At 43.0% G+C, this 18,217-nt stretch overlaps 1 protein-coding gene across 3 annotated transcripts in view; it reads left to right on the top strand.

Moving 5' to 3' along the window:
• The first annotated feature begins 1,276 nt into the window (after window positions 1-1,276).
• Window positions 1,277-18,217, top strand: part of LYZL4 (lysozyme like 4) — a 49,847-nt gene continuing 32,906 nt past the window's right edge. The window contains exons 1-5 of one of the 3 annotated variants that reach the window (NM_001304386.2): window positions 1,277-1,470; window positions 4,563-4,774; window positions 4,889-5,041; window positions 7,763-7,841; window positions 14,553-14,804. In NM_001304386.2, the coding sequence (NP_001291315.1) occupies window positions 4,636-4,774; window positions 4,889-5,041; window positions 7,763-7,841; window positions 14,553-14,622 (441 nt within the window). In that variant the 5' untranslated portion in view covers window positions 1,277-1,470; window positions 4,563-4,635 and the 3' untranslated portion in view covers window positions 14,623-14,804. Of the gene's footprint in view, window positions 1,471-4,543; window positions 4,775-4,888; window positions 5,042-7,762; window positions 7,842-14,552; window positions 14,805-18,217 lie in introns of those variants that run through there. The other 2 variants (NM_144634.4, XM_011533355.4) reach the window with 2 other exon arrangements.

Here is an 18,217-nt window from a genome sequence, read left to right as displayed (position 1 = left end):
GCTTCTCCCACTGTTCCACCTAGAAGGCAGTCCTATGAGGGCCCGGAAGAATGCTGTAGCAGGCAGAATACTGATCTCCCAAAGGTGTCCTAATGAAGCCATGCCCCAAAGAGTTAAAAAAACCAATGACTAACAGAAATTCTTGAGTTTGCAGGATGGCAGGTAAGAAAAGAAACAACTTGCTGAAATACTGAAACTCCCTCTGCTTATGAGATATAAGAACTGGCTGAAATCAGCTGGAACCAAGATGGCCGACCAGAGTCTAGGCAGAACCAGCTTGCTGATGTCACAGACTAAATTTCCACCATGTGCTTTATACTAACTTTCCCCATAATTGCCCAGGGGACCCATAAAATAGTATGAAGAGATAACTGCATATGACCCAGGACTTTCCAGCCCTTCCCTTTCTTCCACCAAATCACCTACTAATCTTAGAATCCCCTAAACTTTTTCTAATAAAAATACTGCATCACAGGAGACAGATTTGAGGTTGACACTGCTGTCTCCTTGAAAATCGACAATATATTGATTATATATTTAAAATTAAATATTTATATTTCAATAAAAAGCCTTTTCTCAAACACCCAGTGTCATAGCGTTGGCTTCCAATGCATTGAATCACTTTTGTTCGGTAACACTCACCCCTGGAACCTCTGAATGTGTTAGTTTGCATGGCAAAAGAGACTTTGCAGATGTGTTTAAGGTTAAAGACTTTGAGAAGCAGAGGTTATCCTGGATGGTCCGGCTGGACCAATCTAATCATGAGTCCTTAGACAGGGAAGGGGAGGAAGAAAAGAGGGTCAGAAAGATACAATGACAGAAGAAGAGGCAAGAGAAATTCAAAGTGTGAGAGGGTTTGACTCACCCTTGCTGGCTTTGAAGATAGAGGAAGGCAACAGAGCTAAGAAATGCAGACAGTGCTTAGCAGCTGGGAATGGCCCTTAGCCGACAGCCAGCAAGGAAACAGGGAACTCAGCCCTGTGACTGCAGAAACTTTATTCTGCCAACAACCTCAATGAGCAAGGGAATGAATCCTCTTCTAAAGCCTTTGGGAAGGAGCACAGCCCTGCTGACACCTTAATTTTAGGCCTGTGAGACCCATTTCTGACTTCAGGGCTATAGAACTTTAAGATAATAAATTGTGTTGTTTAAGCCACTAAATTTGTGGTAATGTATTTCAGCAGCAATAGAAAACTAATACAAATGTGACAGTGACAGACCCTCCCTTTTTCAGAATATCCTGGTGCATAGCAACTGATGTCATAGAAAGGATTCTAGAAGAGCATGTCATGGAGAACTCTTGGGTGCAGACAAGTGGATGATTAATGAAGTAGCATCTGAAAAACCCAAGGAACCAAATGTAGGTGGAGCAACTTCCCTGCAACACACGTCGAAGCTGCTGCAGTGGCTGTTCTTCCCCTCCCCTTGGAAAGGCACCAAAAGCCAGCCTTTGGAAGGGCTGGTGGACTGGTAGGCGGGTATATGGTGGGCAGGAGGGTAACGGGCATGACAATACCCAGCTGCAGGAGAAGCTCATCAGCAAATTCACTTATTGCTTATTTGATGACAGTTCAGTTGGGAAGAGGAGGTTTTTGTTCATTCATTCATTCAACAAAGTTTCATTGAGCACCTACTCTGTATTAGGTTCTGTTCTGAGTTCTGGGGATAATGAAGAGAAAAAACCAGACCAGGTTTCTGCATTCCTGGTGCTTACACTCAGGTATGGGAGAGAGAAAATAAGCAAGTGAACAGATAAATGAGCAATGGAATTCCTGATATTGATTAATGGTATGAAGAAAATAAAGACCGTCTTCTTTGATGGGGCAGTGATCAAGGAATCTTCTTTGAGGTAGTGAGCTCGTATGTGGTGGTCAGGGCAGTCATGTTCCAGGTAGAAGGAATGGCTGGTGCAAAGGACCTGTGGTGGGAATGAAATTGGCATATTCAAGGAAAAGAAATGTGCAAGGTGACTATGGCAGAGTGAAGGTGAACAAAGGAGAGAGTGATGTAAATTCAGACTGGAGAGGTGCTCAGTGGCTGCATCAGAAAGTCTTGTCAGCCAGGTTGAGGAGTTGGGACCTTATTCAAAGTGCAAGGGGAATCCACTGGAGATTAGTGATGTGACTGGACACATGCTTTATAAAATGCCTTTCCAACTGCTGTGTGGGCAGTGGGTTTAGGGGAACAGAGAGGAGTATGTAGTAGAGGAGTGTAGTTAGAAAGTCTCCACCTTAGAGGTGATGGTGGTCTGGATTAGGATGATGGCAGAAAAGATGAGAGGCGAATAGGTTCTGGAAGAACTGTAGATGGCACACCCTGATGAACCTGATGAACTGGCTTCTGGGGGAGAGGGGAGGAGAGGACTCAGTATGCCTTCTACGAGTTGAGATGATGCCTGCCCTGTGGAAGACAGACATTACCAGAAAATGTTGTTTGCTCTGTTGGGAAATGAAACATGCATTGAGATTCACTTTTTTTAATTATTATAATTTAAGTTCCAGGGTACATGTGCACAATGTACAGGTTTGATACATCAGTATAAAAGGGCAGGGGTGCAACCAGAGCTAAGAAAAATGTCCATACAAGTAAAATCTAGTGCTGTGCATATTTAATTCACTTACTCTTCAAATCAACACAATTAATTAAGTACTGTTTTAATCTGTGTTACAGATGAGGAAACTGAGGAATCAAGAGGTTGAGCAATTTGTCTAAGATTACTGCTGGGATCACTGATATCTCAGCCACTGAGGGGTAAAGCTGGAACTTGGACCCAGGCAATCTGATTCCCAAGTCTGAGCTCTTAAATGCAAGGCCCTCCTAGATACTGTATTTGGTGTACTGGTCATGTCTGCAACTAATCATACAGCTTGAGAGTTTGAACAAACGTTTGAAAGTATGATTCTTCTAATTCATGAATACACTTATTTCTAACTTTTGCCCAAGTTAGACATTTCTCAACAGGGGGCAATTTTGTCCCATAGGAACATTTTTGTCTGACATAATTTGGAGGCAGAGCTACTAGCATCTAGAGGCCAGGTGTACTCCTAAACAATCCAATGCACAGGATGTTCCCAGAACTAAGCATATTCCAGCCCAAGTGCCAAGGTTGAGAACCCCCGGTGTAGGTGTATACAGCCAGGAAGACATGCACCTGTGAACGGTGACAAACAGGAGGGTGCAATGAATTGTCCAATTGATATATAACGATGGAGTGCTAGGGGCTATGGGGTATTCCAGGAGGAAGATGAGTTCCAATTTCCAATTGCACATTCTAGTCTGAGGAATGGGACAGAGCACAAAACAGGACAATCATCTGCAGTGTGTCATGGAAGAGACTCTGAGAGCAATAGGGGCTCAGAGGGAAAATGGAACTTTTATGGAGGATCCATCAGGATTCAAGAAGTTGGCACCCGGGGTGAGGCCTCAAGATGCAGCAACATTTGAATGGGGAAAGGCATGGTAGGGCCCTGTGCATTGGGAAGAACCATGCATGAGGGCACAGCTCCCTGGAGAATGGAGTGGGGAGGTGCAGAGGCATCCAGAGAGGGAGTGCCATGAGAATTCTGAGTTTACTTAATAGATTCGTCCTGATAAAGGGTGGATGGGGTAAAGCCAGATCATGGAGGGCTTGGAAAGCCAAGTGTGGGTTTGCTGTGGTAAGAAGAGGGGATTAGCAGTGTTCTCCAAGTGATATTTTGTACCTGCTTTGGGGACATTCCTCAGTCATGGTAGAAAACACCACCTGCATGAGTTGGCCCGGGGGGTTGGAGATGAGAAGGCTGGGCTATGACTCAGCTTGCTGTGAGGAGGTGGTGGGTTTAGATGGTGGCAGCCACTTAAAATGGAAAAGAAATGGAGAAGGTTAAACTCAAGAGTCCATTCTCTGAGTGCGCTCCCCTCCCAAGTGACCCCACTTTTAAAGATAAGGAAGCAGAAGCACTGTAAAGCTAAATGACTTGTCTGTTGTCTGGCTAGTATGTGGCAGGTCTGGGCTTGTCTCATTGCGTGGACGGCAGGGAAAAACTCAGGGGAGTTTGGTTTGTAGAAAATCTGGGGACAAGACTGTGTAAAGGACAAAGACACAACTGGGAATAAGACGCATAAGAGGCAGTAATGGACATAATTCAACAGGTCGGTAGTGGTTCTGCTGCAGTGGTGGGGCCATGATGCTTTTTTTTTTTTTAATTTCTCTTTTCTGTTTTCCAAGATGTATTTAATCACCAAAGTCTACTTTTACAATAAAGGGAAGAAAGGTCTTGAGCATCTGTATCTAATGTCAGAGTGAAATGAGTGAGATACAAACCCAGAAGGAGCCAATGGGTTTTGCTGGATGGAAAGAATTGGGGTTGGGAGGGGGCCTCAAGAGTGCAATTTCCTTAGAAAATAGGAGGTCAAGAGGAGGAGAAGGGGCAGAGTTTCAGGTGTCCCAGATTTGCAGTGACACGAAGCAGAGAATTAGGATGGGAAGAAGTGTCATGGCTTACCAGGTGAGACTCCCATTTTTCTGATGACACTGAACTGTGCTCCACCCCCACCCCCACAGTGCCCTTCTTTCCCTTCAGAGAACCAGTGTCCCTGTGACTCCACCCACTCATCTGGCCACCGTTGCCCTGACCTGCCAGGAGCCTGGAGAAGATGAAGGCATCCGTGGTTCTCTCCCTCCTTGGCTACCTGGTGGTTCCAAGTGGTGCTTACATCTTGGGGCGTTGCACAGTGGCTAAGAAACTCCACGATGGAGGCCTGGATTATTTTGAGGGCTATAGCCTTGAGAACTGTGAGTAGGCCCCACTTAGTGCTCCCTCCTCTCACCTCCTTGCCCTCCCTTCTCTGGCCAAGCATCCCCAACTCCAGCTGTCCTCAGAGTCACACACCTTCTGTTCCATCTTAGGGGTGTGCCTGGCCTACTTCGAGAGCAAGTTCAACCCCATGGCCATCTACGAGAACACACGTGAGGGCTACACTGGCTTTGGCCTCTTTCAGATGCGTGGCAGTGACTGGTGTGGCGACCATGGCAGGAACCGCTGCCATATGTCATGTTCCGGTAAGTCCCTCTTTCCATTCCGTGCGGGGGCACTGGAGGCTATGGTGCTGTGTTAGAGGCCTGCCTTCCAAATGGCCAGAGTTTACAAAGTTTTACAAAGAAGAGGGTGTGGCAGGAGCCATATCCAGGGTGGGTCCCTGGGAGGCTGAGCATTGCACTGCTGGGGGTACAGTGAGATCAGGCTGTGGGGAGTCAGGCAGGCTAACCTAGGATGGAGTGATGGAGACCCCTGTCCAAATGGGCAGAGAAGGTGTTGGGGAGTTGAGAGGAGGCTGCAGGCATCAGAGCCTGAAGGGCGGGAGCAGAGGGCACCAGCTGGCCTGATTTCACCCACGCTCGGCCACCTCTCCCTTTTTCTTTCTTTCTTTTTTTTTTTTTTTTTTTTTTTTTTTGAGACGGAGTCTCACTGAGTCGCCCAGGCTGGAGTGCAGTGGCGCGATCTCGGCTCACGGCAAGCTCCACCTCCTGGCTTCGTGCCATTCTCCTGCCTCAGCCTCCCGAGTAGCTGGGACTACAGGCGCCCGCCACTATGCCTGGCTAAATTTTTTGTATTTTTAGTAGAGACGGAGTTTCACTGTGTTAGCCAGGATGGTCTCAATCTCCTGACCTCGTGATCTGCCCGTCTCGGCCTCCCAAAGTGCTAGGGTTACAGGCGTGAGCCACCGCTCCTGACCCCTCTCCCTTTTTCAAGGGGGCAGTTGCTGCCACTTTGAAAGGCAGAACTGGTTACTGGGAGGAGACAGGAGCTGGGCATCCCAAGGGGAGCTTGCCCACTGCTCTTAGGCGGTCCCAAGTACCTGTGATTAAGGGGAGGTGGTTGCCAGGATTCACTAACTGCGTGAGCATTTATTGAGCACCCACTAAGTGCCAGGCCTTATATAGTTGCCATTCTTGTGCTTGTTAACTGCCAGCTACTCTTTTAAGCCCTTTATAAGTATTCATCTAATTAATTCATCTAATCAATCTAATTAAATACCCATGAGGTGGGTACCGTTATCCCCATTCTATGAATGGGGAAACTGAGGCCCAGAGAGGGTAAGTATATGCCCAAGACCACACAGCTGTGGGGTGGTAGAGCTGGGAGGGAAACCTAAGCAGTGCGGCTCCTGAGTTGGGGCTAAACCAAGAGGCTACATAGCTGGGCCAGGTCTCCCTCACATCTGAGGCGGTCTTCCTGCCTAAGCACCCCAGCATCCTCCCTAATGAGCAAACCTCTTTCCACGCTGATGGGTGAGAACCATTCCAGAGCCTGTGGCTTCTGAGCTGGGTCTTTAGGAGACAGAGTGGAGAGGTTGGAGTGAAGGCCTGCAGCCTTCTCATGTGGCCTGGGGAGTACCTGTCTGTGTTGGGCCCCATGATTGGCCTTTAGCTCCAGAGAGGAGTAAGAAAGTTGTCTGATTCAAGGAGAGGCAGGACTGCAACATAGGAGGAAAAGGCACAGGAACTCTGTGGGAACCTGGTGGGAATCCTAGCTGCTGCCATTAAGAATGACATGAGCGGCCAGGCGCGGCGGCTCACGCCTGTAATCCCAGCACTTTGGGAGGCCGAGATGGGCGGATCACGAGGTCAGGAGATCGGGACCATCCTGGCTAACACGGTGAAACCCCGTCTCTACTAAAAATACAAAAAATTAGACGGGCGTGGTGGCAGGCGCCTATAGTCCCAGCTACTCGGGAGGCTGAGGCAGGAGAATGGCGTGAACCTGGGAGGCGGAGCTTGCAGTGAGCCCAGATCGCGCCACAGTACTCCAGCCTGGGAGACAGAGCGAGAATCCCTCTCAAAAAAAAAAGAACGACATGAGCTTGTGTAAGTCACTTCTAGAGGTCCTCCAAATGGGGACATTAACAACCACTTACGGTTTCTGTGAACATAAAATGGAATAATGTATATAAAATGCCAGGCAGGGCCCTTAGTGAATTACAACAATCACAGTCTAGTTGGGGAGACATACACATTAAAAGTGTAAGTTAATAACATTTTTAAATTAATTAAATTGATTTAATTTAAATTGAAATGATGGTACATTCAATGTCATCCAGAGCTTCCTGGTAGCCAAGGCAAAAAGAGAAATACAGTAGGCCTGTAATTTATATTTCATAGGCAGAAATATAGATTGATAGATATCTATAAACATAGATAAATATAGATATCTATCTATAAATCTATCTACCTATCATCTATCTATCTATATCTCTATCTCTCCAGAATCCAATGGGAGACACATACAATTTTCTGTCTGTAATAGAGGTGGTACTGTGTATTGTGATGAAAATATGGTGGACTATATATCCTGAAAAACTCTCCCATTAGGTAGAATGCAAACAAAGAAAACAAAAATTCTTTTAAAGTCCCAGACTGAGTTGGCAAGAAAGTAAGAAAAATCCCTAGAGGCTAAAAGGGGAACAAGGATCCAGATAGGTTAAGTGAAGGGTTAGAACAGATCATGATCCTGGGCATCAGCTGATTCTCTGTAGCCTAATCAATATATTTTAATGGAAAAAATTTTATAAGAATTACAAGTTAAAAAATCAATAGATCTGGTAAAAAGATGACTCCATCCTGCTACCTCCTTAGGGTTGTCTAATAAAAATCTAAGGATAGATTTATTCTTGGAATTCACTGGAAGACTCTCTGATGTGAGTACCCTGTACCTTCCCTGACATCACTCTAACTTAACTGTCATATGGCAGCATGGTATCTTCCATTTTCTTTTCCCCACAGCTTTACTGAATCCTAATTTAGAGAAGACAATTAAATGTGCCAAGACCATTGTAAAAGGAAAAGAAGGGATGGGAGCATGGTAAGTCTTACATTTTTATGTAGCCTGTATTAACGACTTTCACTCATGATCTCTAATCTGAATCTTGGCTAAATCTTGGCTGTTGCGCACGTGCAGTGCCAAAACTAAAAGGCTCTGACTCACCAAGGTAAGTAGCAGAAAACCACAACCTCAAGGCCACAGAGGGAAGGAAATAATTATCAGAGAAATTGCCTTGAATTGTACTTTTTTTCCCCCAAATCTTGTTTAGGGTTATATAGAAAGCTAGGATGAACATCTTCAAACTAAATCTGTGTTTATTATGATAATCTCTGATTATTTCTATCCTTTAAGTTCCTACAAGGTTTTTGAATACGTTTAAGGTTCTTGATGCATGTTGTGAAATCCAGCAGGCCCATATTTGTTTATATTTCTACAAAAGGTTTAGTAAAATGTAGATTTACTGCACCTTCACCAATCACAACATTTTTGCGATTTAAAGGTGAATAACTGGCTGGGCATGGTGGCTCACACCTGTAATCCTAGCACTTTGGGAGGCTGAGGTAGTTGGATCACCTGAGGTCAGGAGTTCGAAACCAGTCTGACCAACATGGCAAAACCTCGTCTCTACTAAAAAAATAAATAAATAAATAAAATAAAATAAGTCGGGTGTGGTGGTGTGTGCCTGTAGTCCCAGCAACTCGGGAGGCTGAGACAGGAGAATCGCTTGAACACACAAGGCAGAGGTTGTAGTGAGCTAAGATCACACCATTGCATTCCAGCCTGGGCAAAAGAGTGAGACTCCATCTCAAAAAAAAAAAAGGTGGATAATAATTTTGTCTTATCTTCTTTTGTCTTTTATCATATCCCATTCGGGTGTTTCCCCCCATGTTTGTTATATATTACTATTGTTTTGTAATTTTTTTCTTCTTTGCTCTTTGCCTATTTTAAAATTCAAGTTATATTATTTGAAAGAGCTCTTTGTGTATTTGGTACATTAACTGATTTTTGTATATTTATTGCCAAAATAAATGCAAATCTAGTTTCCTCTTTAGCCAGATATTTGCTTAGAAGAGTCTAAAATTTACAAGTGGTTGGCCTATGTCTGACTTCTTTCACTGAGTGTTGCATTTGCTTATGTTTTTGTGTGTGGTTGTGATTCATTCTCATTGCTATACAGTATTCCATTGTGTGGATTCACCGCAGGTTACTTATGCATTCCTCTATTTGTGGGCATTTGGTAGTTTCTTCATTTTTAGTGCTGCCATGGACAGTCTATACTTAACTTTTGGTGAATATGTAAAAGGATTTCTGTTGTTTTTACTGAGGAATAAAATTGCTAGTCATAGGATAAGCATATTTTCAGATTTGGCATATTGTGTCAAACAGTTTTCTAAAGAGATTTTTATCAATGTACACTGCCATCAGAAATTATGCATTTCAGTTGCTTCACATTCTCAACCACGCTTGGTAATTTCCAGTTTATTCTCATGACTGTGTTGTGGTATTGCATTATGGTTTTACTCTGCATTTCCCTGATGAGGTTTCAAATGTTTATTGGCCATTTATGTATCCCCTTTGGTGAAGTGCCTCTTCAAATCTTTTGTCAATTTTTCTATTGTGCTGTCTTTTTCTTATTAATTTGTAGGAGATATTTATATATTCTGGATAAAGTTTTTTTGTTGGATATATGTATTGCAACTATCTTTCATTCTGTGAGTTACCTTTCTATCTTTTTTTTATAAGAGACATCTCAAAAAAAAAAAAAGAAAGAAAAGAAAAGAAATGGGGCCTTGCTCTGTCACCCTGGCTAGAGTGCAGTGGCATTATCATAGCTCACTGTAGCCTGGAACTCCTGGGCTCAAGTGATCCTCCTGCCTCAGCCTCCCGAGTAGTGAGGACAACAGGCACATGTCACCATGCCTGGCTCTTTTTTTTTTTTTTTTTTTTTAACCTTCTCAAGAGTGTCTTGATAAACAGAAGTTCTTAGTCACAATGTAGTCTAATTTATTATTGCTTTCCCTTTATGGTTATTTTAACAAATATCTGCCTATTCCTTGGTCTTGAGGATATTCTCCTTTTTTTCCTAAAAGCTTTATTGTTTTATCTTTCACATTTGGCTCTGCAATATCCTTTCTTTCTTTTTCTTTCCCTGTTGCATTGGCTAGGATCTCCAGTGAAGGTTGAATAGAAGTGACAATAGTGGCAGCCTTGTCTCATTTCTAGTCTCATAGGTAAAGAAGTTTAATATTGTGTCATTACATCTGATGTTTTAAATTTCTGGAGATACTCTTAATCAGATTGTGTTCCTTTCCATCTCTAGTTTGTTAAAGTTTTTTTTTAAATCATGAATGGGTGTTGAATTTTGGTTACCTTTATTTTTTTGCAATTCTGTGTTAGCTTATCCACCTGACTTAAAAATTCAAACTATTGTCTTTTTTTAATCTCTCTTAACTCCCATGACTTTTCCAAAGGTCATATCTGGTGACATCTTATTGAGGATGTCAGTTTTATAAAATTTACTTCTGGATCCTGCAGTATGTTATTTTCATAATAAATTTTATTATGATGTGCTGGGAGCGGTGGCTCATGCCTATAATCCCCAGCACTTTGGGAGGCTGAGGTGGGTGCATCACCTGAGGTCAGGAGTTCAAGACCAGCCTAGCCAACATGGCGAAACCCCATCTCTACTAAAAAAAAAATGCAAAAATTAGCCGGGCGTGGTGGCATGTGTCTGTAATCCCAGCCACTCGGGAGGCTGATGTAGGAGAATCGCTTGAACCTGGGAGGTGGAGGTTCCAGTGAGCTAAGATTGTGTGACTGTACTCCAGCCTGGGCAACAGAGCGAGACTCTGTCTCAAAAAAAAATATTAATAAAGAAATTTTATTATGATGCCCCCTTTTCTTTTTGTGATATTTCCGCATAGGTCCCGTGTTAGCTTTATCCTCTTTACCCTTCCTTGAATAAGGACAGAGTTACCCATATTCAGTATTTGCTAAATGGACAGGTTGTGTGGCTTTTTCTTGTCTCTGTTCACTGTTACTTGGATTATGGCCAGACCCTTTTCTCTGACGTCTACTTGGGGGTAGATTGGTGTGCACATCTCTTGGCCTAGTTTCCAGTTTGTAGATTTTGCTGGTGTGAGTGTCTTTCTGATATGCTGAACCAATGGAGTGCATGAAAATCCTCCATTTCCAGCTTACACTGCTACCATCTCCATCCACGCTGTTTATGATGGCAGGCCTACACTACCCAGTGAACTCTGCACCACCACAAACTTCCTTCTTCCCCTACCTTTTCTCCCCCCGTCCCACATTTTATAATTACCTGCCTGGTTGATTCTGGACATTGTAATCTCCAGATAGATCTAGAAAGAGTGTCATATTTCCTAAGTCCCAGATGGCACAATTTTTCAGATCTTAGTATTTCTGAAACTAGGCTTTATTTTGTAACCAATGTATTATGCCCCCAAAGCTGTTATTAAATCATTGATGAATCTTAGAATAGAAGATATCTTACAATAGAGGAAATCCTATAATAATAGCTGCAATTTCTTAACTGATTGCATTTATATGCACATCATGATTGAATCCTCACAAATCCCTCTGCTATGAGCATTCTTATCTTCATTTTCAAAATGAGAAAACCAAGGCATAGAGAAGTAGAATAACCTACTCGTGGCCACAGCAATATGATCAATCCTGGATCTGTGCTATTCCAAGCCTCAGGTCACCAGGTTATACTCAAAGAGATGGGGATGGGTGACACAGAAGACCTGTGCTGTGGTTATGTAGAAGGCAACCAAAGGACAGTTATCCAGTACTCCAGTGAGTCCAAACTCAAGGTTTCTGAGCAGAGTCAGTGTAGGGTGGTGGGGGAGAAAGGACAGGCCTGCAGGTGGACAAATTTCACTAGTGGAAGCGTAGGTGGTGTTCCTTACTATAAATCATGTGCCCTGAAGGCAGCAGAGACTTTGTCCAGAATCTGATCCAGAAGGTTATGTCTGTCTCAGAGGCTGAGCCTTTTTGTTGTTGCTTTTTTTGTTTTGTTTTGTTTTGTTTTCTGTGTCTTCAAGGTATTTTGGAACTATTAGGTTGTTGCAAAAGTCATCGTGGTTTTTGCCATTAAGAGTAATGGTGGTTTTTGCCATTACTCTTAATGGCAAAAACTGTGATGACTTTCACACCAACCTAAAAAATTCAATCAGAGATTGTTTTTCCTGCTTCTATATCTCCAGCCTCTAGCTCTGCACCTGGCACATAATGGAAACCCCCTATGTGCTCGTTGAAAAACTGAGGCTGCATTTGGGGCCACTAACCTGAAGTCATTCATAACATTTTTACTTTTAAATTTACCATTTATTATCTTTAAAAATGAAAAATAAACCATTTCCCTCTTATCAGCAGCCTCCTCAAGGGCACCAGTGTTAATATTCTTAGAAATCAGAGAAAAATGTACCCACAGATATTTTAAAACACACATGGAATCCCAGTGTCCACACTGAGCTGCACCTTGCTTTTTTTCAGCTATTAATAGAGCTCATGAATCTTGGCATTATCACTACTTAAAGGTCTCTGCCATCGCTGTAACAGCTGCTAGTACCCCACTGTATAGATGTTGCAGGTAATTTATCTGCCAGTTCTCTAATGAAGAAAATTTAGTTCGTTCCATTTTTGTTGCTGCTGTTGCTGTTTCAAAATTCTATCATGAGCATCTTGCTTTTAGAACTTTTATGTTCTTTCAATTGTATCCTTAGAGAAATCCCTTGAAGGGGATTTATTGAGACCATTTGGTGCATTTAAACGTTGGAGAGACCAGTTGCTAAACTGCCACTGGGAGAAGGGGCCCCTCCACCCACACTGCATGAAGGGGCCTGTTTCTCCTCAGCTCACCAGCCTGAGGTGTTAAAAACCTGTATGGTTTTAGAAAATTGAGATGTGTAAAGTGATGTCATTCTGTTTTGCTTTGCATGTTGAAATTACAAAGGAAGTTGAACATGTTTTCATGTGTTTATTGGCTATTTTTCTGTGAACTGTTTACTTATATTCTTAGTCCATTTTTCTATTGGGTTGATAATGGTTTTTTTCTTCATGTTGACCTTTTATGTGTCCTTTATAAATTAGGCTTATTAGACCTTTATTCATTTTATTTGCATAAACTATTTTTTCAGGTTTGTTATTTGTATTTTGATTTTATGGTATTTTTATCCTACGAGAGTTTCACAGATTCACAGAATCAAATCCCTTGGTTTTTTTCTTTTGTGGCTTCTAGATTTATGTGAAATCTCTTTCTTAGAAAGGTCTTTTGTACGCCAAAATTGTAAGCCATGTATTACAACAGTGCTGGCACACACACAAATTAAGCCCTATATTAAATTTTTGTTAAATAAGTTAAAAATAGAATATGATTTTATGTTTTTAATGCTTAAAATTTTGGCCTTCTTGGAATTTATTTTGGTATAAAAAGTGAGGTGTAGGGACTCAGGTTTATATTTTTTAAATGGCTAGTCATTGATTTCAATACTATTTATTCAGTAACCCATTTTCATCACTAATTTAATAGATTGTAATTTTAAAGTGAAAGTCCCCTTATTAATGTTAACTGACTTTGGAGTGTTTGAAATACCTTTCATATATGGTCCGAGTTTCCAGTTAATGTGGAAGCTTGGCTGATTCTTTAGAGTAAGCCCTAATGAACTAAAACCATATTTAGTGTATGGCACTGAGTGGAGCTATGCTAAGCCAGGCAGATCAAGGCCTTCTTATTGCTGAGGTTCCCAGTGAAGGAAGCTAATTAAGCTAACAGGCAGCCACGTGTTCTCCAAAGCTCGGTTGGTCAGCTCTGCAGGGTTGGGGCAGACAGGAAGGGAGAAGACTAAGATCACACATGGCCCCAAGGAGTCCCTTCTGCAATGTCTGCCCTGAGCTATGGAGAGCCTTGGGATTTCTGAAAATACCTGTGTGTATGTTTCCCTGCCACTCTGTAACTATGAGGGGCCAGAGGTCCACAGCCCTGTCTTGCACTGTGGGACCTCCTATCCTGGAAGACCCGTGGAAACCGGCCCGCTGAGGGGTGGGATGACGAAACAGGATTTCTAATGGCGTACAGCTGGCCTGAGTGACTCCCCACCCTGCAGGTAGGGACTGGAGAACCTGAAGTCTGGGTGCTGGCATGGGGACCCAGAACAAGGGAATCACTTTGACAGGCACCAGGAGAAAAGGTTAGAGAAACTCAGTGCAGCTGACTTAGGTGGGGCTAAAGAGTTGGAAGGAATTTTGGAAGGTGAAGAGCGGAGCAGGTACGTGGAAAGGTGAAAGGGGCCCTGGCCCAGGGGACAAAGGTTCTATTTGCAGGCCTAGGGTCTGCCAAAGACTCATCATGTGACTCTGGGAAAGTCACGGAACTTCTCTGAAGCTTACTTCAGAGAAGCAAATGATACCTCCGTTGCAGGGTTGGGGGAGAATTTCACAGTTCACAGTTCAGCCTCCTCATCTCACCATGTGGGGTTTATGGAATGAGTTGGGGGCTGATGTGGGCACTAGGATGGAGGAAGCACCAGTATTCAAGCCAGGATGTGATGAAGACAGCACTGGAGATGCACAAAAGCCTTCAGAATCGTGCCCACGGCAGAGGTGGAAAACTCAAAGGCTCCAAGGGGCAGGCAGGTGTAAATGGCCTGAATGGGGCTGTGAAGCCCTGGAGACCCTGAGTTCTGACTTTGAGGAGCCCTTCCTGTTCACTTCTCTCCACAGGCCCACCTGGTCCCGGTACTGCCAGTACTCCGATACCCTGGCACGGTGGCTGGATGGTTGCAAGCTGTAGCCACCTGCATGGCCCCTGCAGCACTCACCAGTTGCATCTTGTGAATGAAGGTGCTTTTCTGCTTGCTGCTTCAGTCAATCCTTTTGATGATCTCACCACTTTAAGAGTTCCAGATGGAAAAAGACAAAAGTTTGCTTCATCCGGGGATGCAGGATGCAGAATAAACCAAACTAGTTACTCAACTTGGGCCAAAGGTCTCTGCTTTGATTATGATTATTTCTGTAATCACCATTATTTACTATTATTGTGATTTATTATTATTTAATCTCATATGGAGGAATTGAAGGAAGGAAATTATCTGAAAAACAAGATGTGTCCATGAATGTCAATACTAAACAGGAAAAGGAAGAACAGGTACAGTGGAACCAAAGAGGAAAGAAGAGAGGAAGAGAGGCTGGCACAAGCAGGGCCTTCAGCCAAGGCGTGTCCACACTGGGACACACGGGGAAGGGAGAGACCACAGAATCCTCTTTGCACGTCTATGAAGGGAATCAAATGACAGTTGCTCATTTCTTATAAAAAGTCTCTGAAAGTTATAAATAACACATATTTGCATTAGAGAAATTTGGGAAAATACAGAAATGTTAAAAAGGAGAAAAATTTTCCTATAATCTCAGTACTCAAAGACAATTGCTGTTATGTTTTGGTTGCATTTCCTGCTGATCTTTTTTCTGTATAGGTTTTTTATTCTTTTTCAAAAATGCCATGATAATGTTGTAGTTAGAGAGTTTTGCATCTGACTTTTTAGAAAGAAAACAAACAAATAAGGTAAGACACTTTTCCCCTACATCTGTTTCAACTTTAAGTAGCAAGGGGCTTATTTTAAAAGCTTAGTGGCTTACAGCTTATTTCATGGGATGGAGTACAGCTGTCAGCCTGGGCTTCCTGGACACACCTGCCTGAGATCTGGTAGCAGCAGCAGCAAGAGCACAGGTATCTGCTCAGCAGGTCAGGTCACCTATGGGACCCACACCATCATGGGGGTTGGAGAACATAGTTCTTCACCTTTCAGTCCTCATACAGGAAGAAAAGAACTAGAGTAGTATGGAGAAAGCCTGTCAGTCACATGTGCTTCACCATGGTGTTGTAGTTCTTCAAAGTGAAATTTTAGTGCCAGTGAGTATTTCAGTATATGACACACCATATTTTATTTAACTTTTGCTCTACTCTTAGATGTTTTCTTTTTTTCTTTTCTTTTTTTTGAGACAGAGTCTTGCTCTGTCACCCATTGCTGGAGTGCAATGGCGCGATCTCGGCTCACTGCAGCCTCCACCCCGCAGGTTCAAGCGATTCTTCTGACTCAGCCTCCCGAGTAGCTGGGATTGCAGGCACGCACCAACAACACCTGGCTAATTTTTGTATTTTTAGTAAAGACGGGGTTTCACCATGTTGGCCAGGATGGTCTTGAACTCCTGACCTCAAGTGATCCACCCGCCTCGCCTCCCAAAATGTTAGGGGTGTGAGCCACCGATCTTGGCCATGTTAGATCTTTAGGTATTGCCATTTTAAAAACCATTACAAAGAGTGCTGAAGTCCCTGTTTGGGGCTGCCCCTTTTTATTTCTCACATTTTAAAAATTACCCCAACAACATATATTTAATGAAGAAAACCTGGGTAGCATAAGTAGTCATAAAAAAGGAAATTAAGAATATCCCCTCACTGGAAACAGAAGTTTTCATCATTGTCATGTTGCTAAAGTGGGCAATCCTGACTTAGGAAAAGAAACTTTTCGTGTGTATATCTTCCCTGCTTTCGTGTGTGTGCACATTTTTCCCCTTACAGACATGGACTACTACTAAACATACAGTTTTGTATCTTCCTTTTTTCACTCAATATTTTGTGATCTAATATTTCCAGGTCTACAGCAGGGATCCTAGCACCATTTTTAACAACGGCACAGCTTTCCATTATATAGACAAACTATGATGTATATAACTCTTTATTGTTACTCTTTGTAATTTAGAAAAAAATTGAAGAAATTAGGTAAAAAGTGGCTACGTGAAAGGCAGGCAAGATCCAAATCAATTCAGCCTTTCTTTTTGTCTTAACCTTGGTTACTTTCAGAAGGAAGAAATGGCTGTAAGTTAGAATTTCAGAGACAGAACTTTTACTCAAGTTCAGTAACGACTGTTGAGCTTAATCAAACAGTTTTGTGTGGCTTTCCCTCCTCTCTAGAGAAGAGGGTATTCTATATTCCCCAACCACACAGCATGAATCATACAGTAAAATTACTGGCAGTGGCACTTGCAGTTGAGATCAATGTGAAGCTTTGATCAACTTTTTTATTGAGCTGGGAACCCCACATTGCTTCCGAGGGTAGGTCCAAGAACGATAATGCACACGACCTCAATCCAATCTTAACCCAGAATTAATAACCTGCAATTGATGAAAACACTATCTCCTCGAGTGCCAAATCCAGCGCGCTGCCGCCTCTTTCCAGCCCATTGCTTCTGCTGCGGCTCACCATCCTCTAATGGGCACTTGTGTCAACATGGGCGTGAGGCATGAGGACAAAGCAAATGTTAGTGTATTGATTGGAACAGCCTCTCTCGGGTTGCCCAAGCCCACTGATAATGGGTGTTCCAGTGAGCACTCATTCTGGGGGCAGATCTCCTTGTCTGGTTTACAGAATGATCCAAGCTGGATTAGGAAATCTCAATAACAACAACTCCTATTATTATTACTTCTGTTACCAGCAGCTATCATATTAACTCCAACCATATAAATATTACACAGACCTTTACACGATATTTCCAAGCCTTGCAAAACCTCCTAAGGTACTTATGAAATATACCCATATTACAGATGGTGAAATTGAGGCTTAGGGCTAAATAATGTGGCTTTACTCCAGTTTGGTAAGTGATGAAGTTGGGATTGGTATCTCCTCAAAACCTATATCCCCACACAGAGCTCCCTTCCAAACCCTGGTACTATATTGGTATTAATTTTCTACTCCATTAGCTGGAAAATTGGGTCTCTAGTTTTTTAATTAAGATGCTGCACTTAAGAGGTATTAGGCAACTAGTGCAGGACAATGGTCATCGTGTTGGTGCCCAGTTCACAGGCTGGGAAATTGAGTGAATTTTCTCAACTGCACAAAATAAATCGAGAAGACAGTGTGGAAATCTACAGCATTTCTAAGCTTCTGTCATAGTAAAAATCACTTGGGGCAGGCCGGGCACGGTGGCTCATGCCTGTAATCCCAGCACTCTGGGAGGCCGAGGTGAGCGGATCACCTGGGGCCAGGAGTTCGAGACCAGCCTGGCCAACATGGCCAAACCCCATCTCTACTAAAAATACAAAAAATTAGCTGGGTATGGTGGTGGATGCCTATAGTCCCAGCTGCCCGTGAGGCTGAAGCATGAGAATCACTTGAACTCAGGAGGTGGAGGTTGCAGTGAGCCGAGATCACGCCACTGCGCTCCAGCCTGAGCGACAGAGCAAGACTCTGTCTCAAAAAAACAAACAAAAATCACCTGGGGCGACTGTTAAAATGCTGATTCCTGGGCCATGTGTCTGACCTACTGAATCCATATTTCCAGAGATGTGGTCCAGGGAATCTGTGTTTTCAAAGCTTCTCCAGATAACTCTGATC

Source organism: Homo sapiens, chromosome 3, assembly GCF_000001405.40.
Source record: "Homo sapiens chromosome 3, GRCh38.p14 Primary Assembly".
Taxonomy (NCBI): domain Eukaryota; kingdom Metazoa; phylum Chordata; class Mammalia; order Primates; family Hominidae; genus Homo; species Homo sapiens.
This window is presented reverse-complemented; position numbering and strand designations above follow the sequence as displayed.